General features: G+C 46.5%; 1 long non-coding RNA gene across 51 annotated transcripts in view, besides 8 other annotated features; it reads right to left on the bottom strand.

Annotated features, from left to right (window-relative positions):
- PVT1 (Pvt1 oncogene) overlaps window positions 1-25,011 on the bottom strand; it is a 306,733-nt gene that overhangs the window by 184,655 nt on the left and 97,067 nt on the right. The window contains exon 4 of one of the 51 annotated variants that reach the window (NR_186126.1): window positions 14,063-14,146. The exons of the other annotated variants lie outside the window; for them this stretch is intronic. This is a non-coding gene — a long non-coding RNA (Pvt1 oncogene). The remainder of the gene's footprint in view (window positions 1-14,062; window positions 14,147-25,011) is intronic. 51 annotated transcript variants of the gene reach the window in all.
- Window positions 567-636: an enhancer, noted in NCBI's record as "active region_27953". NCBI's record gives its function as "activates an Ori minimal core promoter by ATAC-STARR-seq in GM12878 lymphoblastoid cells {active_cell/tissue: GM12878}" and the evidence as "EXISTENCE:reporter gene assay evidence [ECO:0000049][PMID:35858748]".
- Window positions 4,506-5,095: an enhancer, noted in NCBI's record as "NANOG-H3K4me1 hESC enhancer chr8:128923753-128924342 (GRCh37/hg19 assembly coordinates)". NCBI's record gives its function as "activates a minimal SCP1, AML or CMV promoter by ChIP-STARR-seq in naive H9 embryonic stem cells {active_cell/tissue: H9 hESC(naive)}" and the evidence as "EXISTENCE:reporter gene assay evidence [ECO:0000049][PMID:30033119]".
- Window positions 6,929-7,861: an enhancer, noted in NCBI's record as "H3K27ac-H3K4me1 hESC enhancer chr8:128920987-128921919 (GRCh37/hg19 assembly coordinates)". NCBI's record gives its function as "activates a minimal SCP1, AML or CMV promoter by ChIP-STARR-seq in naive H9 embryonic stem cells {active_cell/tissue: H9 hESC(naive)}" and the evidence as "EXISTENCE:reporter gene assay evidence [ECO:0000049][PMID:30033119]".
- Window positions 7,862-8,793: an enhancer, noted in NCBI's record as "H3K27ac-H3K4me1 hESC enhancer chr8:128920055-128920986 (GRCh37/hg19 assembly coordinates)". NCBI's record gives its function as "activates a minimal SCP1, AML or CMV promoter by ChIP-STARR-seq in primed H9 embryonic stem cells {active_cell/tissue: H9 hESC(primed)}" and the evidence as "EXISTENCE:reporter gene assay evidence [ECO:0000049][PMID:30033119]".
- Window positions 11,844-12,345: an enhancer, noted in NCBI's record as "H3K4me1 hESC enhancer chr8:128916503-128917004 (GRCh37/hg19 assembly coordinates)". NCBI's record gives its function as "activates a minimal SCP1, AML or CMV promoter by ChIP-STARR-seq in primed H9 embryonic stem cells {active_cell/tissue: H9 hESC(primed)}" and the evidence as "EXISTENCE:reporter gene assay evidence [ECO:0000049][PMID:30033119]".
- Window positions 14,771-15,425: an enhancer, noted in NCBI's record as "H3K4me1 hESC enhancer chr8:128913423-128914077 (GRCh37/hg19 assembly coordinates)". NCBI's record gives its function as "activates a minimal SCP1, AML or CMV promoter by ChIP-STARR-seq in primed H9 embryonic stem cells {active_cell/tissue: H9 hESC(primed)}" and the evidence as "EXISTENCE:reporter gene assay evidence [ECO:0000049][PMID:30033119]".
- Window positions 16,635-18,240: an enhancer, noted in NCBI's record as "1.6 kb fragment used in the MYC e1 reporter construct". NCBI's record gives its function as "activates a MYC promoter by reporter assays in K562 erythroleukemia cells {active_cell/tissue: K562}" and the evidence as "EXISTENCE:reporter gene assay evidence [ECO:0000049][PMID:27708057]".
- Window positions 17,639-17,706: a transcriptional cis regulatory region, noted in NCBI's record as "e1 or genic|chr8:128910525-128911445 region (GRCh37 assembly coordinates) targeted for CRISPR interference". NCBI's record gives its function as "positively regulates MYC gene expression in K562 erythroleukemia cells {active_cell/tissue: K562}" and the evidence as "EXISTENCE:mutant phenotype evidence [ECO:0000015][PMID:31784727]".

Here is a 25,011-nt window from a genome sequence, read left to right as displayed (position 1 = left end):
ATCCAGAGACCAGAACGAAATCATCTATCTCCTGCTTGGTTATGGCGAATACGGACACATCAATCCATGACTACTTCCTGACAGCCTGCTGTGCATTCAGTCCTGGGCTGAGCACACACAAAGACAAGAAATCTAAATCCTGACCAGGCCCACATTGAGGTCATTGACCTACTACTCATTCATGCACTTGTTCACACAACAAATCATTATTGAGCACCAACCACATGCCACAGCACTAGATTCGGGAGTTTGGGTCTGTTCTCTGCTGAGTATGCAAGAAGCTTGAACTTGATTCCAGGAGAGAACATCTAACAATAACCATCATGCACATCACTCATGTCTGCACAGTGCTTTTCCATTCTCAAAGCACTTGCCCCTACATGGTGTGTTTAATCCTCACAAAACCCCAGGGAAGACATCAGATAAGTGTTCTCATGCTCTCCCACTGCACATTTAGGGAAACTGAGGTACTGAGGGTTGAAGGCACTCATCCATGACCACATAGTGGAACTGTGACTCAAACCCACATCTTCTGTTTTCTTTTGGCTATAAATATTTGCCCCCCTGTAAGTGGGATGTGGGGAGTCCCTATTGGCCTAGTGGCCAGGGTGGGATTGACTGTGAAGGATGTGAATATGTGGAAAGCACAGGGCAAGGTTGCATGAAAAGACATAGATCTGGGCTCTTCAGGGTCAGGTGATGTACCCATGGCACACAGCACTTGGCATGAGCCAAGAATCTGAAGCAAAGCGAAACAAAACAAAACCTGTCCACTGTAGAGGAAGAGGAACATAGAAAAGTGATCAAAAGCAGCATTCTAGAGTCAGACCAATCCTGGTTCCACTTCTACACTGTGTGCTCTAATGGAGCCTCTACTTTCTCATCTGTAGAATGGGGCTAATGAACCCATCCCATCTCTATAGAATCCACCAGTTTAAGTGCCAGACATAGTGTCCACATATCCTCTTTTTTTTTTTTTTTTTTTTTTTGAGATGGAGTTTCGCTCTTGTTGCCCAGGCTGAAATGCAATGATGCAATCTCGGCTCACCACAACCTCTGCCTCCCAGATTCAAGCAATTCTCCTGCCTCAGCCTCCCAAGTAGCTGGGATTACAGGCACGTGCCACCACGCCTGGCTAATTTCGTATTTTTAGTAGGGAAAGGATTTCTCCATGTTGGTCAGGCTGGTCTCAAACTCCCGACTTCAGGTGATCTGCCGCCCGCCTCGGCCTCCCAAAGTGCTGGGATTACAGGTGTGAGCCACTGAGCCTGGCCCACATGTCCTCTTTTAACCTGATGGGATCTGTGATGTCATAACTGTTTTAATGGAGGTAAAATCTGCATAAAGTAATATTAACCATTTTAAAGTGTACAAAATCAGTGACGTTTGTCTAGTACATTCACAATGTGGTATAATCACCATGTCTATCTGGTTCCAAAACATTTTCATCACCCTCAAATAAAACTTTGTACTCATTGGCCAGGTGTGGTGGCTCACACCTGTAATCCCAACACTTTGGGAGGCCGAGGTGGGTGGATCACCTGAAGTCAGGAGTTTGAGACCAGCCTGGCCAACATGGTGAAACCCCATCTCTACCAAAAATACAAAATTAGCCGGGTGTGATGGCACATGACTGTAACCCTAACCGCTCAGGAGGCTGAGGCAGGAGAATCACTTGAACACAGGAGGTGGAGGTTGCAGTGAGCTGAGATTGCACCACTGCACTCCAGCACTCCAGCCTGGGAAACAAGAGGGAAACTCGGTCTCAAAAAAAAAAAAAAAAAAACCAACAACAACTTTGTACCCATTAAGCAGCTACTCCCCATGGCCCCCAGCAACCATTAATCTGCTTTCTGTCTATATAATTTTGCTTATTCTTGAAAATTCATAAAAATGGAATCAGACAATATGTGACTTTTTGTGCCTAGCTTCTGTCACCTAGAACAGCATTTTTGAGGTTCATCCATGTTGTAACATGTATCAATGTCTCATTCCATTTTACAGTTGAATACTGTTTGCTATTCTTCCGCGGACAGACATTGGACATCTGGGTTGTTCCCACCTTCTGGCTGTTGTGAGTAGTGCACATGCCTGTAAAAGCTTTTTGTGGACATACGCCTTCAACTCTCTTGGATATACACCTAGGAGTGGAATTGCTGGGTCATATGTAATTCTATACTTGACTTTTTGAGGAACCACCAAACTGTCTTCCACAGAGACTGTATCATCTTACATTCCTACCAGCAATGTACAAGGGTTCCAATTTCTCTACATCCTCACCAACACTTGCTATTTTCTGCCTTTTTTTTTTTTTTTTTTTTTTTTTTTTTTTTTTTTTTTTGCTGTTGGTGGTGGTGGTGTTTAATTACAGCCATCCTAGTAGGTATGAAGGGGTATCTCATGGTTTTAATTTGCATCTCCCTAACAACCATGGCTACTGAGCATCTTTTCATGTGTTTATTGGCCATTTATATAACTTCTCTGGAGAAATGTGTGTTCAAGTCTTCTGCCCATTCTGAAACTGGGTTGTCTTTTTGGTTTTGAGTCCACTAATGTTTTGAGCAAGTGTATAGCAAACTCGTATGCTGCCTCAAGCCTATTCATCTGGCAGTCCCAGCCACTACTGAAAAGCAGGTGTGAGGCCAGGGGGCTGCTGGATTCTGCATGTGGGCCTGGAGAGAACAGACAGCCATGTGTGTGGCCCCAAACCCTTCACTTAGAGAGGCACTGGAGCCCCTGGAGATGTCCAGGCGAGAGCAAAGGGCATGATTAAAATGGGGTGGGAAACGGCACTTTCGAGGAAGGTTAGAAGAGATTAAGGGAGGGAAAGACTGCGGACGACTTAATCCCACACAGACCCTGGAGTGTCTGAGTAGGTGATTTCAAGGAATCAGTGGTCAGCTGTTTTCCATTTCCCCAGCAGAAGAGAAGGAAATGTGCACAGTCGGGGAGAGGCTGAGCACAGGGAAGTGCTTCCATACTGAAGAGCTCTACCTGGCAGAACCTGCCAACACTTGGCATAGAATGCAGACCCCACATGGGGCAGACTGGACCCACCCAAGCAGCAGCGCCCAACAGAACCCAGGCTTAACTGCCCCTGTCCCCCATGGAAACACGTTCTTCAGCAGAGAGAAAGGGACTCATCACAGTCATGTGTGGCCCAGCATTAACCTTAACACCCCATGGCCTCCCAACATGGGAGGGCCTATACTGGGCCCAGGTCAATGGATCAGGCTAGGTGCAGTGAATTCCTGGTTTGAAGGCCAAGTGCCAGGGAGCAGATATGAAGAGCATGTTGCGCCTGACCCTGAGGAATGCATGGCTGATGGGAGGATGCTGTGGAAACCGCTCACTCCAAACCAGCAGAAGGCACAGGCACCATGAAAACACCTGGACAGAAAGGCTCTTGGACAAGGAGCTGAGCTTCAAAGTTAGCAAGAAGGGAGGGAAGAGGCCAAGCGTGGTGGCTCACACCAGTAATCCCAGCACTTTGGGAGGCCGAGGCAAGCGGATCACTTGAGATCAGGAGTTCAAGACCAGCCTGGCCAACACGGTAAAACCCCATCTCTACTAAAAAGAAAAAAACAAGGTGGGGTGTGAAGGGGGTGGGTGGGCGTGGCTCACGCCTGTAATCCCAACACTTTGGGAGGTGAAGGCAGGTGGATTACCTGAGGTCAGGAGTTCAAGACCAGCCTGGCCAACATGGTGAAACCCCATTTCTACTAAAAATCCAAAAAATTCGTCTGGCCTGGTGGCAGGTGTCTGTAATCCCAGCTACTTGGAAGGCTGAGGCAGAAGAATTGCTTGAACCCGGGAGGTGGAGGTTGCAGTGAGCCAAGATCGTGCCATGGCACTCCAGCCTGGGTGACAGAGTGAGACTAGTCTAAAAAAAAAAAAAAGAAGGGAGGGAAAGATATAAAATGACCCAGTATTTGGGGTCAGTGGACATGTGTTCAATGCGAATGTCACCATTTATAATTTCTGGCAAATTCCTTCACCTTTCTTCCTCTATCACAATAGGGATAATCCAACTTCTCCACTGGGATGGTGTGGAATAACTCAAGTGAGTCAGCTCACAGGAGGCTGCTGCCCTTCCATCGTGGAGGGCTGTACCTTGGCAGAATCTCCTCCTAGGATTATGCTCTCTCCCTGGGTTCCAATCCCCCCTTAGCCACTTACTTGCCAAGGGATCTTTGGCAGATTACTTAATTCCTCTGAGCCTCAGTTTCCTCATCTGTAGAGTGGGTGTGTAAACATAGTACTTATTATAGGGTGGTTGCCTGTGTTACATGAGTCAACACGTAGAAATCACTTGGAAGATGAATGGCAAGTGCTCCAAAATTTAAGTAGCTATTATTCTATAACATTCAACACAATAAACAATCCCTCTTCCTAAACTGTCTACATGTTTAGTATAGATTTCTGCACAGTGGGCTGAGCTGAATGCCAGGATGTTCAAACTGCAGGATCACAGAACTTTATCACATGTGGGATCTGGAGAAACTAATGTTCTGCTCCAAGAAGTGAAGAAACAGGTACAAAGGCTCACCTAACTCAGGGCACTCAAATCCAGGTCTCCACTAAAAGCTGGTTACTCTGCTGCCCTCTCCCCATCCACCAACTTCCCCACACTGAGCCACACCCATTCTTTATCCATTATGAAACGAGCACCACCCGTAAACCTGTGGTGAGGTTCAGTTAAAACAGTTTACTGAATGTAAAGCTGTTCTTTTGGCCATCGCCTAAGATAAGGGCCTGAGGCCAAAGGGAGCAGGGAGGTCACCCATAGTGCGGACCCCTAGTCACAACAAAAGAACCATCAATTTCTCTAAACAGCACTCCAAGAAGCAAATAAAAGCACAGCAGAGGGGGCACGCATGCTATTAGACACAGCTGGTGTAAGCCCTAGTTCTATGACTGTGCCTTTGGACAAGTTCCCGACCTTCCCTGGGCCACGGTTTCCTCAACTGTAAAACAGGGACTACGCAGGGGTGGTAGCGAGGATGAGAAACAGAGGCTTATACAGTTTCTGCGGTTTGGCAGCCTGTTTTTATTAGAGCTGCCATCTCCTCCGGAGACCTCCAGTCCCGTACTTCACAGTGGCCACGGGGATCAGTTTCAGTGATTCACCGGCTGGGGCCTGGCCCTGAAGAGCCTTTGCAAGGCCGGCCAGGTAAACAGCTGGCAGCCGGGGACCGGCGGCCACTCCGACCTGCTGTGCAGGTCAGAGCAACTGCACACAGGAGCACTCCCCTTGCGGTATCTTCAGGGCTTTGAGTCTCAACCCAGCTGCATCTGGACGCACTCAACTGACACAGGCCCAGGAAAACTATGGCCAGAACAAAGGAACACTACAGCATAAGCAAGGGGGTGGCTCTATAAGAGGAGCCCGACATAGGCTGCAAGTGGCAGAGGAGGTCACTATTCTGGGAGTCCCACCTGTCTGACCTCCTCTGAGTCCCTGGACGGTTCAGGGCAGGAGGAAGAGGAGGTGGAAGTCTATAGGTCCAGCCTGCCTCAGGTTCTGGGAGTGACAGATTGTCAGAACTGAGTTAAAGCCCATAGCCCCATCCTTCTCACAGCTTCTATAAGTAAGCCTGACCCACCAAGACTGTAGCACAGGAATGCCTTATAATGATTTCTATTGCTCTTCACCGTACAATGCACAATCTCTCTCTCTCTCTCTCTCACACACACACACACACACAAACACACACACACACAGCAGACTGATATAATGGTTAATAGCACAAACTCTGGAGCCAGACTGTTGGGGCTGGAACACCAGCAAGCCACTTTCAGCAGTGTGACATTAGACATTATACTTAGCCTCTCTGATCCTCCAGTTTTCTTGTTTGTAAAATGGGGCTAATTATAGCACCATCCTCCTAGGATTATTACAGGAATTAAATTATTTAACAGATGAGACCAAATTCGCACTGCCCAGAAGTTAATAAGCACTAGATAAATGTCAGCTATGATTATTAGTTACTAATCTAATTATTATCATTAGGAAGTCATTTAATTTAACTGATTTGACTGGTAGGTTCTTCATGAGTTATCAATCACACAGAGATTTACCAAGGAAAGGCCATAAAGAAAAGAAGGAAGAAAATTAGCATTCTTTGTCAGCTTCCTACACATGTGATCATTTCAGGTCAGGATTTCACATTCCCTGCAAAACTGAGATTGTGATCCCCAGTTTGCAGATGAGGACACCAAAGTTTGGAGAAGCCAAGGCAATAGAGTCAGATTCCAAAGCTAATAAATTTATTATGGAACAAAAACCACCTTCTAAAATGTCACTTTCTTGTGCATGTTTCCACGACCCTGTACCTTTCGCACACAACTGCCCCCGCTTCCATCTCCCCAATCTTCCCACCAGTCCCATCTTCCCCTTGCGTGGCCAGCAGAGACCCACGTCCATGATGGACACTGCTTAGGCACCCCGCTAATTGCTCTTCCAGCACATGTACAGAGCTGACCTCATAGCAGGATGAGGACGGACGTGGTGTGCAGAGGCCCTTCCCTGCACCCCACTCCCAGCACCTTGCAACCAATCCCCACACACCCAGCCTCTGCCCCATGTTGGAAAAATTGCCTCCCACTCTGGTGCTACAGGTATGAATCTCAGCCACAGTGATGACTGTGGCAGCTACAGGCCTGATGAACACCCCACCAAGAAAAGGAGCATCATGTGCCTGCTTCTCTCTGGTTCCTAAATCCTTTGGCCAAACATTTTCCCCACAACCCTCCACTCCAGTTGGCTGGTCACTGCCTCTCAGAAAGAAGTCCCAGGTCCCTGTCAGCCCCAGAGCGCCTGCATGGACTCTGCCCACTGTCCCTTTCCAACACGGAGGCCCCCAATTCTGGGGACCCCTACACCCTACCCTGTACCACCACATCCCCATGCCTGCTCCAGACAGCACTAACCTCCCATGACAGTGGGACCAAAGCAGTTCTTAAAGGTCCAATCCACTCAGTTCTTAAATGAAAAACAGTTGCCCATGAGTCACCCCCAAAGAGCTCCGCACATATGCCAAACATTCGGTGTGCACTATTTCAACTGATCCTTGAAACAATCCCCTGAAGCAAGCGCTATTATCACACTCATTTTGCAGCTGGGAAAAACAAGGCTCAGAAGGTAAAGTGACTAGAATCACAGGCTGGTAAGGCACAAAGCCATGATTCAGACCCAGGCCCTCTCTCTCTCGAGATGCATCACTTTGAAGACTCTTGCCTACTGTTTTCCTGTAGTTTCACCTGATTTGGGGAGAGAGAGCTCTGTTTTCCCAGTAACCACACTGCGAACACAGCAGACAGTCACTTACATTCACAGATGATCTGAATAGCAAAAGTAGCCAATAGGCAAGGACAAAAACGCGGCCTGCGTGACCCATTTCCCTTTAATTTTTAAAAGTCTCTTTCAACCAGATCTCCTCAGAGTTCTTCATCCATCAGTAAATACGAACTAACGCCATATTGAGGGCCTTCAAATATACAGTGGGCCAAACCTTGTCCTTCCACTGGAAATACACACAGGATCACGAGAGACATGGACCTAAATGGCAGGGGCCACGTGGGGAAAAAACGGGCAGCGTCTATAAGCTAAGAGGACAGAGCAACCAACTCTGCTGGGTAAGTCAGAACAGGCTTTGAAGACCCGGCAGCTGGGTTCAAAGCTGAAATTGGATGGGGACTGGAGAGGGAGACAGAGGCGGAGGGTGACCGTACCTCTTAGGACTGGTGATGATGGCTGCCTCACCTCCCTGTGGCAGGGACCCTACTGCTACGATAGTTCAGACACCTTCCGCAGCCCTTCCTCCCGCACTCCAAGGAGTTCCTCCATCCGACTCAAAGTCCACCATGAAACCAGCAGTGCTACTGCATCTAATCTCAAGGTCCCAGACAATGGGGGTGTTTAGCCGGGAGTCCCATCAAGGGTTAAGAAACTGAACAGGAGGCTGGATGTGGTGGCTCACGCCTGTAATCCCAACACTTTGGGAGGCTGAGGTGGGCGGATCACAAGGTCAGGAGTTTGAGACCAGCCTGGTCAATATGGTGAAACCCCGTCTTTACTAAAAATACAAAAATTAGCCGGGCGTGGTGGCACAACCCTGTAATCCCAGCTACTCAGGAGGCTGAGGCAGGAGAATCGCTTGAACCCAGGAGGCGGAGGTTGCAGCGAGTCAATATCACGCCACTGTACTCCAGCCTGGGTGACAGAGCAAGATTCCATCTCAAAAAAAAAAAGAAAGAAAGAAAAAAGAAAAAAAAAGAAAAGAAACTGAAGAGGAAGGGATGAAGGGATGCACATGCATGCACAGATAATGAAGATCCACCCTCCTCACGGCCGACCAACGTGAAAATACAAAGCCTGGGATGCCCAGAAAGGACTGTGTACGGAATACTAAAATGTGGTTGTATTTTGTGGAGCTGTGCCATATGTCTCCTTGACTTATCACCCAACACACAAAAAGAAGGCGAATTCCAAAAAGATGAGGCAGCCATAAAATTAAGATAGAGAATGCCATGGGTGATGCGCGGCCACAGATTAACTGAAATGGAATTTCCTCCTTAGTCACTGGAAGGCATAGGAACCCAACTCCAGGCAGGGAGGCCACTGAGCCACTTGAATCAGCCTCTTGTTCGCTGCTTGGAGGGAAACACAATCAGGAAGAAGCTGGGTGTGGAATGTGCTCCTTTCTGCAGCACTTTCTTATTTCTTCAGCTACCCCCCTCCCATCCCAATCCCCAACCCAACCATCCCCTCCTTACAACCACTATAAAACGTGCCTTGGAAATCCAAAATCCACAATTATTAGGGTGATAGCTTAGAAAACAGGGTCTGAAACGGTGAGGATTTCGTGGAAAAATATAAAGATTTAACACAATCTTTCTGCCATCTGGGCTTCCTGACCCAAATCTGATCATTGGCAGCACTGCATACTAATCCAGGAATTCACTGACAATACGGTCTGAACTATTTCAGTGGTGTTTTCCTCCCTACCAGCCCTGTCCGCCCGCTCCCTGTCCAGCATGCACCCCAGCCAGCCCACAGAGCTGCAGCAGAATTTCCTGTCATCCTCCGGAGTGCTGGCCAGCACGGCTGATGACTTCCGGAGACCCTGCAGGAGAACAGGCACTGTAAACATAGCAGGCCCGTGTCAGTTCCATCAGGCATAAAGATCCAGACTCCTGAAGGCCAGAGTGTCTTCAAAGGGCCCGGGCTGTCCATCTGGGACCAGAGCCCTGTCATTTACAGCACCGCATTTTGACATGTCTGGGGTAGGAAGCAGGCGGTCTGGAAACATGCTCAAGAGTGCCAGGGAAGGCCGGGCATGGTGGCTCACACCTGTAATCCCAGCACTTTGGGAGGCCGAGGCTGGCAGATTACCTGAGGTCAGGAGTTCAAGACTAGCCTGGCCAACATGGTGAAACCCCGTCTCTACCAAAAAAAATTAAAAATAAAAATTAGCCGGGTGCGGTGGCACATGCCTGCAAATCCAGCTACTCGGGAGGCTGAGACAGGAGAATTGCTTGAGCCCGGGAGAGGGAGGTTGAAGTGAGCTGATATTGTGCCACTGCACTCCAGCCTGGCTGACAGAGCAAGACTCTGTCTCAAAACAGAAAAAAAAAAAAAAAAAAGAGAGAGTGCCAGGGAAGGCTGGGAATCCCAGCTGAGTCCTTAATGGCTGGGTGTCTCAGCCTCTCCGAGCCTGTTTTCACATCTGTAAAATGAAGGTGATATGACATTTACATCTTTGGGTTGCTGAGAGAAATATTTAAATCCTGGCACATAGTAGGCACTCAATAAAGGGTAACAATTACATAAGAATGGTGACATTAACGCCTGCACATTGACACCTCAACCATTATGCACAAGACCTTAACATCTGACAGAACGCATGGAAACAAGACTCAAGCATGAGACCCCAGAAGCATCGGGAAGGCAATGGATTCTCCGGATGGCAAAACAGAGTCCACCCCCCATCCCCCTCTCAACCCCTAGGAGCAGGGGACATCAGATGTGTCCTTTAAGCAACTTCTCACCCATTCGTCACACCAAAGAGTTACAATCTGCTCAGCCACAGCCTGAACTACCCCCAGTTTCTCCTTTTACCATTATCTTCGGTGCTATCTAAACATTTATCATCCTCAGGAAGATGTAAAATGCTGGTGCTGTCAGAATTCAAAATGCAATGTCAACTGGAAGGCTCAAAGCCATTTGGAGGATTTATTTTGGTGCTAACTAGAGAGCAAATGAAACCCCAGGAATGGTTTAATTAACCCCGCAAGCAGCAGCCAGGCATTTTCTTCCTGTCTCGTTCTGGCTCTCAAGGTTCCCTTAGGTTATCAGCAAGGACAAAGGAATTGACAGGGACAAAAACATAACCCAGGTGGTCATTAGGGTCTGTCCATGAAAGCAGAGTGGGGAAAGGAGCTCTCATTAGGAAGACCAGTCCAGCTCTGCCCAAGATCTGCCATACACCGATTATGTGACCATCTGCAAGTTCCTAACCCTCTCCAAACCGCTCTGAGGTTATAAGGATAACCAGGCTTCATGGATACTTGGTGTGTGTGGGGTTTGTGCAAAATGTATCTTACTGAAACCTCAGACCCTTCCTACACAGAGCAACTAGTATAGCCCCATTTTACAGATGGGGAAACCGAGGTCAAGAGAAGTTAAATAACTTGCCTCAGACCACAGCTGCAAATGGCAAAGCCAGGATTCAATCCAGGCCAGCCAGCTCAGGCCCCGAAAGCCAGTGCACTCTTGCACATGCCACAAAAGACTCAGACTGTGATGTCAGGTAAATCCAAGATGGGAGATTGACTCAACCTCTATTTCCTCGCCTGAGAAATGGGGGTGACAGCAACAACCTCACAGTGTTGCTACAGCAATGAAATGAGGTGAAAGTCATGTAAAATGACAGAAGAACACAATTATATATACTCAAAAAAAAACCCACAGGTCCTCAATTTTTTACTACACTGCCCTGCACATAGTAGGTGCTCAACAAACATTCATACAAACACATTCACCTGAGTTGAGGTGCTCAACTCAGAAATGACCAATGGATGTGAAAACCTTACAAAGTTGTTGTAAGGATTAAATGATGCCAAAAATAAGAATTGCCAGCATGCTAAGACCACAAGAAATACACATCCCAAAGGAAATTCTCTTCTTCATGTGAGGCTCCCCGTGGACATAACCCCCAGGGCACCACACAGGTGGTCTATATCCCTGTAACCAATCTGTGCCCAGAAGAGATAGTGAAGCTCAGCACAAAAGAGCAGGTGAGAGCTCCCAGCCCATGGCATTTGCCCATGTTCCTGAGTGGGAGAGAGAAGGCATGCTAAAGCATCACCCCCAATGTTGCATCCCCCAAAATCACATTAAGTCATCAAGTCACAGACAGAAGCTGGTCCAGTTGGATTCTTAAGTATTCATCTGAGCATTTGTGTATTTTGAGGCTGGGGAAGGGCAGGGGAGAGAGAAACTTTTCTCCAAGGAAGCCAGGTACCTTTGAGCACCACAGGGACTTATCAGCAGATAGACCAGAGCTCTGCAGACACACAAAACACAGCCTGGACCCAGGATGCTTGGTCATGGAAGTCAATACGAAGCCTGAACCTTAGTCCTGCCCTAGGACCAGCTCCTTGGACATACAGCCTGTGCAGGCACACAGGGCTCCTGGCTCAGAGGGGCCCGAGCTTGGTTTAAAGCTCTGCTGTCAGCATCTAGAAATTCTTCCTAATTTTTACACAAGAGAGCCCATATTTCATTTTGCACTGAGCCCCACATATTATGTAGCCAGCCTGGCCTACCACAGACAAGCCAACAGGCCCAGGTGCTCCCCATCACCGGCCTCAGTCTGTCAGTGGTAAAATGGAAGCATAATGCCTGCCTCACAGTTGCCAAAGCTGGCCAGGGACCCATACACTCAACACTTCATGAGTGTGAGATGCCATCCCCCTAACGGAGGGCCACGGTTTGCTGCCTGGCAAGTGGGATTATTTTCCCAGGTATTGGCTACCACATGAATGTTCTGCAGGTATAACGAGGCCAGAGATAGACACACACCTCAGAATGATGGATGTTGACATCATCATCATCATCATCAACATCATCTTCATCACTGTAAAACACTGAGCTGGCCCCAGAATGGGTCACATCATTTAGGGGTCTGAAAGTGCTGCACAGCAGGGCCAGGGGCAGTCAAATTCAGCATTGGTACCAACCTGCAAAACTGGATAACCCACCAGAACAAAAATATCCTTAAATCCTTAGTACCCAATAATAAAAGAGGGTATTGCCCAGGCTACAGTAAGACCCCCACTCTCACAAGTGAAATGCCCCTACTGCATACCAAAGACAAGTTGTAAGCTCCTTAAGGATAGAAAACAGGGCTTCATACACACATAAATAAAATATCTAGTAATACTTTCTAACCAAGGAGGTGAAAGATCTCTACAAGGACTACAAAACATTGTTGAAAGAAATCAGACATGACACAAATAAATGGAAAAACATTTCATGCTCATTGATTGGAAGAATCAAAATCATTAAAATGGCCATACTGTCCAAAGCAATTTATAGATTCAATGTTATTTCTTTCAAACTATCAACATCATTTTTCACAGAAGTAGAAAAAACTATTCTAAAATTCACATGGAACCAAAAAAGAGCCTGAATGACCAAAGCAATTCTAAGAAATAAGAACAAAGCTAGAGACCTCACATTACCTGACTTCAAATTATACTACAAGGCTACAGTAACCCAAACAGCATGGTACTGGTGCAAAAACAAATACACAGACCAACGGAACAGAATAGAGAATCCAGAAATAAAGCCACTTATCTACAACCATCTGATCTTCAACAAACTTGACAAAAAGAGGCAATGGGGAAAAGACTTCCTATTCAATAAATGGTGCTGGGATAAATGGCTATCCATATGCAGAAGAAAATGAAACAGAATCCCTATTTATCACCACACAAAAAATAACTCAACATGGATTAAAGACTTAAGACTTCAAACTATAAAAATCCTAGAAGAAAACCGAGGAAATACCCCTCTCAATATAGGCCTTGACAGGAATTTATGGCTAAGTCCTCAAAAACAACTGCAACAAAAACAAAAATTGACAATTGGGGCCTAATTAAACTAAAGAGTTTCTGCAGAGCAAAAGAAACTATCAAGGGAGTACACAGACAAGCTACAGAATGGGAGAAAATATTCACAAAGTATGCATTTGACAAAGTTCCAATATCCAGAATCGATAAGGAACTTAAATCAAAAAGCAAAGAAGCAAATAATCCCATTAAAAAGTGGGCAAAGCACAAGGACGGACACTGCTCAAAAGAAGACATTCATGCAGCCACCAAACATGAAAAAATGCACAACATCACTAGTCATTGGAAAAATTCAAATCAAAACCACAATGAGATACATTTCATGCCAATCAGAATGGTTTTCATTAAAAAGTCAAAAAATAACAGATGTTGGTGGGCCTGTGTAGAAAAGGAGACACTGACACACTGTTGGTGGGAATGTAAATTAGTCCAGCCACTGTGAGGAGCAGTTTAGAGATTTCTCAGAAAACTCCAAGTTGAACTACCATTTAACCCACCAATCTCATACCTGGGTGTATACTCAAAGGAAAATAAATTGTTCTACCAAAAGTACACACGCACCCATGTGTTCATGGCAGCACTATTCACAATAGCAAAGACATGGAATCAACATAAATGCCCGTCAGTGGTGGACTGGATAAAGAAAATGTGGCACATATACACCAAGAAATACTATGCAACCATATAAAAGAATGGAATCACGCTCTCTGCAGCAACATGGATGCAGCTGGAGGCCATTATCATAAGCAAACTAATGCTGAAACAGAAAACAAAATACCGCATGTTCTCACTTATAAGTGGGAACTAAACATTGGGTACACATGGGCATAAAGATGGGAACAATAGATGCTGAGGGCTACTAGAAAGGGGAGGAAAAGAGGGGGACAAGGATTGAAAAACTACTGGATACTATGCTCAGTACCTGCGTGATGAGTTCAATCATACTCCAAACTTCAACCGCATCCCATATACCTCTGTAACAAACCTGCATATGCATCTCTTGATTCTAAAATAAAAAGTGAAAAAAAAAAAAAAAGAAAATAGAACTTCAGCTCTGGAGCTCTGGTGTAGCTCCAGAACATGCAGCCTCGCACAATGCCTTGCACACAGCCGGAACCAAGTATACACAATGACAGCACTAGAAATGACTTGTGAACTGTCAAAGTGCTTGATGCTCAGTGGTATCATTCAATTCACAGGTAGGGTGAACGACCATCCCAGTTTGCACAGGACTGAGGAGGTTCCCAGAGTGTTGGACTTTCCGTGCCAAAACCAGGAAAGTCTCTGGCAAACCAGGACAAGTTGGCCATTCTGTTCACAGGTATTATTTCTAAGGTCAAACAGAGGTTACTCCTCAGTGGAGGGTTATGGGGCTCTCTTTCAACCACCAACACATTTCTACGCATTCTAAGTTTTCACCAAAGATCTTGTATTAGTGTTATTATCATGGGAAGTGTTGAAGAAGTAAAAAGGTTATTTCATAGTATGCACTATCCATTACCAAATCCAAATTTTCTATTTCTAACGATATTTTTCTTAAAAAAAAAAAAAAGTACCCTTGGCCAGGTGCAGTGGCTCAAGCCTGTAATCCCAGCACTTTGGGAGAACAAGGCAGGAGGATCGCTTGAGCTCAGGACTTTAAGACTAGCCTGAGCAACATAGTGAGACTCCATCTCTATTAAATATAAAATTAGAAATTTAAAAAAAAAAAAACTCTTCTCAAACTGTCTATGTTTAATCTTCCCTTGTGGCTGTACAATGGTGGTTCATGCCTATAATTCCAGCACTTTGGGAGGCCAAGGTGGGAGGATCACTCAAGTTCAAAAGTTTGAGACCAGCCTAGGCAACATATCAAGACTGTCTCTCTAAAAAGAAAAATAAAAAAAAGAAAAGAAAAAAATCATTCCTTGTTCATTTATGTCAGCTTTTTCCCACAACATTCAACTTCCTTCCAGAAGTTTCCCCCTCCTGACCTTTACAGCCCTGCTGCCCTGAAGTGTCCTTCTGGGCCACCGAGGGCATCTCAATCTTGCCTTTCCTAAAATGTGCCTGTGCTGTGGGCTTTGCTAGAAGCCCCAGATCCTGGCTGAGACAGACTCATAAAGTGGTTACAGTAACTCTGGGTCCCCCACCCCTCTTCCTGCAATGGGTCACTTGGATAACCCTCAGTGAGTGAGGGCCAGAGCCAGACTCCAGCCAGCCCCTCCAGCAGCCCTCTGCAGCAAGCCCAACTTCCTCCTCAGCTCTCCACTGTGCATCCAACTCCCCAAAAGCCCACAGCAATGGTGCCTGGGACCTCCATGTCCAGCCTCATGATATCCAGCCAGGCCCAGACAACGCTGTTGGCTTCTTCACAAGTATCTTCTCAACAGCAATGTCTTCATTCACACCCCCACTCCAGGCCCCTATTTCTTTGTTCTTTCTGCTGCTTCTGCAAGGGGCCCCCATTATGTTGCTCCTTCCACACCCAGACTCTGGACCTGCCCTGGCACTTGCCTTGTCCCCTTCCAGAATTCACCCCATTCAGGCGTGTCATGAGCTGGTACATGGTGTGGGGCATGCTGACTGGCAGAGGTATATAGTGGTGAACACCACCCACTCCTGCCTTCCAGAAGTTCCCAGGCTCTCAGGGAAGGAACCTAGGAAATAGTGCCAACTGGAGAGTGATGTGGCAACCTCCAGTCAGGCTGCAAATGTGCATGCTCTGTGCCCTGTACTCCTGGGACACACCCAGACATGCACCTGCAGCCCTGTGCTAGGATGCTCATGACAGCATTGTTTACAAAAGCAAAATTCTGGAAACAACCCAAGACTCTGTGGCCCAGGGAATGAATGAACAAGCATAGTAGCATCATCTGCCCAGCATAGCGCCGGGAGAAAAGAGGAAAGTGCAGACATCTTATACGTTATGTCACCTACCTAAGAATTTAAAAACACACAAAATGGTGCTACCAGTGATCTTCAAATAGATTTGTAATGAAATTGTAAGAGCATGACCTGTTATACCCCAAGTTCAGGAGAGGTACTTGTATGAAGAGAAGGATGGGGAATGGGAGACAAGGCTCATAGACTTCCCATTTATCTATTTTTTTTTTTAAATTTCTTTAAAGACAATGATCCAGGCTGGGTGTGGTGGCTCATGCCTGTAATCCCAGCACTTTGGGAGGCCGAGGTGGGGGGATCATGAGGTCAGAAGATCAAGACCATCCTGGCTAACACAGTGAAACCCCATCTCTACTAAATATATAAAAAATTAGCCAGGTGTGGTGGTACGCGCCTGCAGTCCCAGCTACTCAGGAGGCTGAGGCAGGAGAATCGCTTGAACCTGGGAGGCAGAGGCTGCAGTGAGCTGAGATTGCACCACTGCATTCCAGCCTGGGCAACAGAGCGAGACTGCATCTCAAAAAATAAATAATAAATAAATAAATAAACAAAATAAAATAAAATAAAGACAATGATCCAAAGCAAAGCATGCCACCTCATGAGCATGTGCTAATCCTTGGGTGGGAATACGGCTTTTGTTACGTTGCCCTTTGTAGCTTTCTCTTTTGTGTTTCAGAGCTAGATATTCACACTATACAGAGATCCCCCTGAAACTCCATAGCAGATTCTAGAATACATGGAGGCTTTGGGAAAGACAGTGGAAAGCCAAGGAAGCCAGAGAGCTCCAGGCACACACAGCACAAGAGGGAGGCGGACCACCAGATCATGAGGTCTCCACCGGTGCCTCAGCAGCCAAGCACTGCCTGGCCTGAAAGGAATGTGCTCTATGCCCTCACTTCCACCAGCTCCAGGCTCCCTCCCCAAATAATCAAAAGTCAGGCTCTGCTCTGCCTCCTTTTCCAGATGTCTCTGTGGATGAAATGCAATCCCACAGAGTGGTGTCATCCAGCTCTCAGGCAGTTTCCCAGAGGTGACTCATCTGTCATCTCAACAAGCGCGTGAGGGGCACAAGACGAGGACTGTCACCCCATTGAGAGACGGGGAGCCAGAGACTCACAGAAGTCCCAAGAACTGCCTGAGCTGACTCAACAGCCGGAAACTAGGACAGTCACAAAGTCAGTCTGACTTCCAAATTTAAATGAGATTCAGGGCTTACTATGCATCATGTTCAGAGAGGGGAGATGGACAACTGGCCAGTTTTACCTCCCAGATCATCTCACTTTCACAATAACAGGCTTCCCAAAGGAGCAAGCGAAAGCCCAGAGAGGCCAAGTGTCCTCCCTTAGCTCACAGAGCCAGAAAGCCTCAGGGATTTTCTAACATGCCTCAACAACCTCCCCAGAGCATTTCTCCATCAGGAAAACTATTTTCATTATGGGTATCCTTATTTTCCCTGCAGACGCAACAGGAAGCTTCTGGGGCCCCCCAGTGAGCAGAAAGCTGAGAGCTGGGGGCCAGCCAGTGTTTATTTGTTTATGCCATCATCTCCCACTGAACCCAGTCCCAAGCTACTGAGTGACTCAGAGACCTGACCACCAACAGCTGTTCTTCGGTTGGAGCCAGATAAGTCAACGGGGGGTGGGGGTGTCCATTGCACTTCCCAGTAATCAGGTGGGACACACTCTTTCTGTCCAGTACCCCCACCCCTTGTGGAGTGATAAAGGGTGACAGACAGATGAGAGGGAAAGACCCCCATCCCCAGCAACTGCACTGGAAATCCAGCTATCAGCGTGTGGCCACTATTTTAACAAGGCTACAAGACAGAGAGAGAGGGAAGAAGCCCCCACGCCACCGCCTCACCCCCACCACAGGGAAATAATCTGCCTCCTGGGAAGGTGAGAGGGAAGAGAGCCACCAGGGCCACTGGAATACAGGTTCCAGCCAAGGCCACCCTGAGGCCCAGAGTCTCAGCAATGGGCCATGGTTGGCTCCAGTCTAGTGTGGCCCATCAATTATGGTGACTTCACTGCCTCAGTCTGGTCTCCAGCATGATAAGCAAAGGCGCTTCCCTGCCTAGCTTGGTCTCCAAAGCCTTTTCCCTGAAGGTTCCCTGAGCCAGAAACAGAATGTATCTTGAGGCTTTACCGTCCTCAAAAGCCTGATCTCTGGGTTCTACTCCACTCATTTTAACTGAAAACACCACTCAGGTCCAAAGGATAGTAATGAATCTTTCTTTCCTTTCTTTTCTTTCTTTACATTATTTTCTTTCTTTACATTATTTTATTTCTTTACAGCCTTTTATTTCTTTACACTCTTTCTTTCTTCCTTCCTTCGTTTCTTTCTTTCTTTCTTTCTTTTCTTTCTTTTCTCTTCTTTCTTCACGCAGGTACAAAGGACAGAGTATATTTCTTCACTCAGGTTCAGAGGACAGAATAATGAATCTTCTTTCTTTCCTTCTTTCTTCCTTCCTTCCTTCTTTCCTTCCTTCCTTCCCTTTTCTTTCTTTTCTTTTCTTTCTTCACGCAGGTACAAAGGACAGAGTATATTTCTTCACTCAGGTTCAGAGGACAGAATAATGAATCTTCTTTCTTTCCTTCTTTCTTCCTTCCTTCCTTCTTTCCTTCCTTCCTTCCCTTTTCTTTCTTTCTTTCCTTTCTTCCTTCCTGTCTGTCTTTTTTTCTTTCTTTCTTTCTTTCTTTCTTTCTTTCCTTTCTTCCTTCCTGTCTTTCTTTTCTTTCTTTCTTTCTTTCTTTTCTTTTCTTTTCTTTTCTCTCTTCACGCAGGTACAAAGGACAGGGTATTTTTCTTCACTCAGGTTCAGAGGACAGAATAATGAATCTTTCTTTCCTTCTTTCTTCCTTCTTCCCCTCCTTCCTTCTTTCCTTCCTTCCTTTTTCTTTCTTTCTTTCCTTTCTTCCTTCCTTCCTGTCTTTCTTTCTTTGTCTGTCTTTCTTTCTTTCTTTCCTTTCTTCCTTCCTTCCTCTCCCTCTCTTCTTTCTTTCTTTCCTTCCTTCTTTCTTTCCTTCTTTCTTTCCTCTTTCTTTCTTTCCTCTTTCTTTCCTTCCTTCCTTCCTTCCTTCCTTTCTTTCTCTCTTTCTCTCTTTCTTTCTTACTTTCTTTCTTCATTTTTGGAACTGGGCCATCTTCCAAACTTCTCACATAGCCCCTTACTCTGCTCTTCCTATGGACAGCTGAGAATCATTTTCTAACTTTATCAAATATGCTCCCTCCTCTTAAGATAGCCTGCCCTGGCTGCTTCCTATGTCTCTTGCAGTCTGACCAGGCGCTGTAGGGAAGAGGCCCAAATGCACCCACCTGGCCCAGATATCCAGAGGCCAAGGCCACGGTCCTGCACCACAGCGTGAGAGTTCTTCTTTGCAGTGCCTACAAACCTATGCTTGCCCCCAAACTCGCTCAGGGGTAACGGGGTTGGGGAAAGAGTGGAAGGTCAAACAGAGACCCTCTTGGAATCTGTTCCCTTCATTAACTTTGGAATTCCACAGGCCAGTGTTTTCTCAAGGCTTGTTACACTGAATACTCCCCCAGGAGGAGGGGGCTGCAATCTTCATACCCACAGGCTCTAGCTGGGAAAGCCAGGAGACAGCTTCATGGGGTGAGGTCAGCCACCGCCCGCCCAGCCCCCAGGTGGAGGAACTAACATTTAGAGAGCAAACACTAGATAGCTAGCATTAGAGTAACAAATAGATTCAGAGGTGTTATGGTTTGCAGATGAAGAAAGTGAGGCTCAGAGAGATTAAAACACTTGAGCACATTGGGGCCTGTGGGTCGGGGGCGGGGGGGGGGAGGAAAGGCATCAGGAAAAATAGCTAATGCATGCTGGGCTTAATATCTAGGTGATGGGGTGATAGATGCAGCAAATCACATGGCACACGTCTACCATGTAACAAACCTGCACATCCTGCACATGTACCCCAGAACTTAAAATAAAATAAATACATACATAATAAAAATAAAATAAAATCCCTTATACAGAAAAAAATAAAAATAAAAACTTGAGCAAGATCACACAGCAGGTATAAAACAGCAGAGCTTCAAAACAGATTTAGTTTTGTTCTAAAAACCACACTCTTCAAATAATTGTAGCTATCAGTCAAAGAGGGCCAAGATTTCATGACACAACCACTCTTGAGGCAGGACGCTGAGTGACTGCCCCTGGAGCCCAGGCCTGCTGGACCAAAAGCCCACTCAAGTTAGCATTGAGGCCTGTGTGTAATTCAGGGATGGAACAGTGTGTCCAATACTGTTCTAAACTGACTTCCCAAAACTGTCACCGAGACCACTCCTTGTCAATGCAGCACCCCCTGCCAAAATGCACATGCCTTTACGTTTTACCATGTATGGATATCAGAGCCTAGGACATAGTAAGCCCTCAGTAAATGTCTGCTGAATGAACAGTAAGGAAACTAGCCATGTGAAGGCCATCTTCTAAGTTTTCTGTAAAATCCTAATGAAAGCACTGCGCATATACTGCTTAACAAGTCTCACAGAAATATTGCATCTTGTAACAATTTTTTTTTCAATGTTTATGATCCAGGAGGAGTTTCTGCCTTTGAAAGACAAACATGTTTCCTTTATTTAGGCCAAGGACAAACTACAGCCTAAAGGCCTATTGCCAGTTCTTGTAAATAAAGTTTTATTGGCACACAGCCACACCCACTCATTTACATATTATCTATGGCTACTTTCCAGATACAAAGGCAGAACTGACAAGCAGTACAGAGCTGTGTGGCCTGCAAAGCTGAAAACATTTGTCACCTAACCCTTGATATAAAAAGTTTGCCAATCTTTACTTTAGATACAAATATAACCTACTTAGCATGTTGTGCTAATTAGGAAGCTCAGAGCTAAACGTAATGTTAAATTTTAGTAACTCACTCATCTTCAATATTTTTTATACCTTTATGCCTATATGCTTTGACCTTCTAATCCCATTTTAAAATTTTATTTAAAAAAAACTAGTATTCCCTGAGTACATATTATATGCCTGGCACTGAATGAAACCTTTTAATATGTTCTCTTATTTAATTCTCATAATAAACTCATGGGGTAGGTAATATTATCTTTTATTTATTTATTTATTTATTTGGGAGATGGAGTCTCAGTTTGTCACGCAGGCTGGAGTGCAGTGGTGCAATCTCGGCTCACTGCAACCTCCGCCTCCCAGATTCAAATGATTCTCCTGCCTCAGCCTCCTGAGTAGCTGGGATTACAGGCGCATGCCACCACACCCAGCTAATTTTTCTATTTTTAGTAGTGATGGGGTTTCGCTATGTTGGTTAGGCTGGTCTTGAACTCCTGACCTCAGGTGATCTGCCCACCTCGGCCTCCCAAAGTGCTGGGATTACATGTGTGAGCCACTGTGCTCAGCCCTTATCTTCAATTTATTGAGACTAAATGAATGAAATGAATACATGAATAAGTCACCAATTGATTGCATAGTGGAAATATTTACTATTTCATAATTCAATCCCAGAGAATAATTAACTCAGGAATTGACTGAAAAACTTTGGGTGCTCAATGAACATAACAGGCAGGGCTGAGATAGTAACTGCAGGCAATTTGAGCCAAATTATAGGATTGTAAAGTGCTATCGTTCTGGGATCCTTATTGTTTTCAATCTAGCTTCAGACCAAGCCGGCCAGTCACTTCATCATGAATCTTCAGGATTTGGGGAGAATCAGCAGACATGACACAGAGCTACTACTCAAGTCACAGGCTCAGACACTGCCTCCAGTGGCGTGGCCAGAGCCACACAGCCAGAGTACCGCAAATAGAAACAATTACCGGTGCCCCAATGTAGTCCTCTTCAGGAGGACTAGGTCCACATGTCACTAATAGTATTTTTGAAAAGTTGACCTTTTCTTAAGTACCAACATCCTAAGCAGTATCATCTGCAAAACCACAGGTCGCACATACCAATTGTTGCCTTTTTCTAATTTGAGTTAAACACAAAACAATTTTTTTATTCTTATCTATAACATGAAATCATCTTGCATTGCTCATCAGCACGCTTTGGAAAACACTGGCTGGACAGGAGTAGGGGTGTCAAGGCTGACAGATGGGACTGCAAACACCAGCTTCTCTGCTCTCTCCATCAGTAACCGTGGCAGCTTTCTGGATCTCACTGAACCTCAGTTTGTTCATATGCATAAGGAGGAGACACATTCTCCTTGCCAGATTAGAAGGTGAACTGGCACATTCCAGGTATTCATACACACCAGCTGTTAAGCAACCTTGGGCTGTTCACCGAAGAACCCCTGGAGATGATCAAGTCACAGCCTTTCCCTCATTGCCACCCTGGGTAGACCATCAGAGGCTCCAGGCACCCCGTGGGGAACAGGTCCAAGATGCCAGGCCATCTCCAGGAACCTGGCCAGGATGTCAGTGTAGGTGGCAGGGCAGCCCGTACGACTAGAGAGTGTGCTGTCAATAATTCCAGGAGCCCATCAAGTGAAAACAACACAGGTTGGGACTGCTGTAGCGGCAGTCAGGGATAACAGGGCTCTTCTAAGTGGCTGAAAGCAGGCTTGTGACATGAAATCAGAACAGCAAGCTCCTGCACCACGAGTAGAAATGCAAACTGTTCAGGCAAAAGTCCAGGGAAAACTGGGAGAGCCAGCCTTGTATGCATGATGCACCAGCAGCACCAGCACCCACCATCTAACTGATGAGTGTGCGAGCCACTAGGCCTGGCTTGCCCAGCTACATCCTCGTATACACCTGTCATCCCAGAGTAAGTGATACAGTGCCCCTTTCACTCTCAAGTCTCCAGGCTGAGAAGAGAAATTAGCCAGCTTCTCTATGAATGAATGTACTAAGGCCCAAAAAGCAGAGGTAGTTTGCCCAAGGTCACAGTCACCAGTGGCCAAGAAGGGAGAATGTGCATCTCTCAGCTCCAGGCAATGTTGTGCAGTGGCTTTGGAGTCAGACAGGGCTGTCCAAATGCTGCTTGTATTCTCTAGGGACACTTGATTTCCCTCTGGGTGCTCCAGTTACTTCAACAGTAAAACAGACCGGGCAAGGTGGGTCACGCTTGTAATCGCAGCTCTTTAGGAGGCCGAGGCAGGCAGATCACTTGAAGTCAGGAGTTCAAGACCAGCCTGGCCAACAAAAATTAGCCAGGCATGGTGGCGCACGCCTGTAGTCCCAGCTACTTGGGAGGCTGACGCACAAGAATCACTTGAACCAAGGAGGTGGAGGTTGCAGTGAGCCGAGATTGCGCCACTGCACTCCAGCCTGGATGATAGAGTAAGACTCAGTCTCAAAAAAAACAACAAAAACAAAACAAAACAAAAAACAGTAAAACAGATAATCATCATAATGGTGCGCATCTCATAGCTCTGTTTTGAGGTTTGAATGGAAAAACATGTGCTATGTGCCCTGTAGACAGCATGGCTTAATAAATGGAGATTATTACTACATCAGCATCCTTGCTGACACAGAGAAGGAATCTTATTCATTGCCATAACCATTCTGTGTCCTTTGGTGTCTGAGCCCACTCTGGCCCTACTGTGAAGAGTGGGAGATAACCCAGACCACCACAATTGGGTTGTTCTAGGCAGTAACTGATAAAAGGGGAAAAAACAGAGCTATGGACCATGTGATAAGTGAGGCACAGCTGCCACCACGATAGGGTGTGGGGAGAGGGCAGGAAGGGGTGAGAGAGGACTGGGAAGGCACAAAGGAGTGGGGAGTATCTGCCTCTGTCTTTCCCAACTGATCCCCTCCCATCCCAGAACCTCTTTGCTCACCACTGTGAGCCTCTCTCCAGACCCTCAGCAGCCCCCCGAAATGGCTCCTCTGCCTGCCCCTACGTGACCACAGTCAAGCACAGCCCAGCACCTGCTGCAGCTCACCGTCACACACACCCTTCCCAAGACCGCAAGGAAAAGTCTTCAGCTGAAGGGGCCTTGTTTGGTATAAAACACGAGGCAGTTCTCAGCTTCTGGCTCTGTCTTCTCCTGGATAAATAACCTTGGGGAAGGTACATGGCCCCTCAGAGCCTCCAGGCGCTCAACTGTATAATGGATAAACCATTGCTCTCCTAGTGGGATTGCTGGGCTAAGTCATATATATACTCAAGAAAAGAGTGTTTCCCTTCTGTCTGACCTTTTCAAAGAAACCAAGAGAAAACCACGGAGAGTCACCATATTTGATCAAGGCAACTGTGATGCAACAAATAAAATGCCTACTATGTATGTGTCTAGCCTGTGTGCAAGGCAAATGCATTTCCTCAACTCAGAAAGATTACTTTCTAGTGTGAGAGAAAGACAGGAAACCCAGTAAATTGCACATATGAATATACAATTAGAACACATCTAAGAGCTATGGGTGAGAACAGCATGTAACACCCAGAGGGACATTATTTACCTTAGGAGGTCAGGGAAGCCTGTCTGAGAAAGTGCTGTCAGGCATGAGCCGAACTAGGAATCCAATCAAAATCAGACTCAAGGCCCCGCCCCAACTGTGGTCTTGGCCGCCACATGCCAGGTGGCCTCAAGTGGTCTGAGAGCTGGACCACTTGCTGTTTGAGCTGCAACTCTCCTTCAGGCACCTTGGCACCACTCATCGCTCAGAGCTAGCAGCCTCCCAGGCCACCAGGCCTGGACCTGAGAGGCCAGTCCTTCCACTTGTCAGCTGCAGAACTGCAACAGGCCTTTGTGGCCAACCCAGCTGCTCCCTCCCTCCAGCTGGCATGAGACTCCATTTCCTCATCTGCCACTGACTTGTCACTCTGCCTTCCCATGGGCTGCAGGGAAACTGTGACCTTTAATCAACTGTCCACGCCAACCAGCTGTGCCCAGGTCAGAGTCCAGCACTGCCTCCCTGGCTCTGCTCAGAAAGATCAGGGCCAAGAAATGTCCACCATCCCCAAAAGCTACCCCCAGCCAACATCACCCACCACATGCTGAGTGTCTGTCATGTGGTCAGCATTTCAATGTCTACTTGGCGATCTTCAATTCCAGT

Source organism: Homo sapiens, chromosome 8 (assembly GCF_000001405.40).
Source record: "Homo sapiens chromosome 8, GRCh38.p14 Primary Assembly".
Lineage (NCBI taxonomy): Eukaryota > Metazoa > Chordata > Mammalia > Primates > Hominidae > Homo > Homo sapiens.
This window is presented reverse-complemented; position numbering and strand designations above follow the sequence as displayed.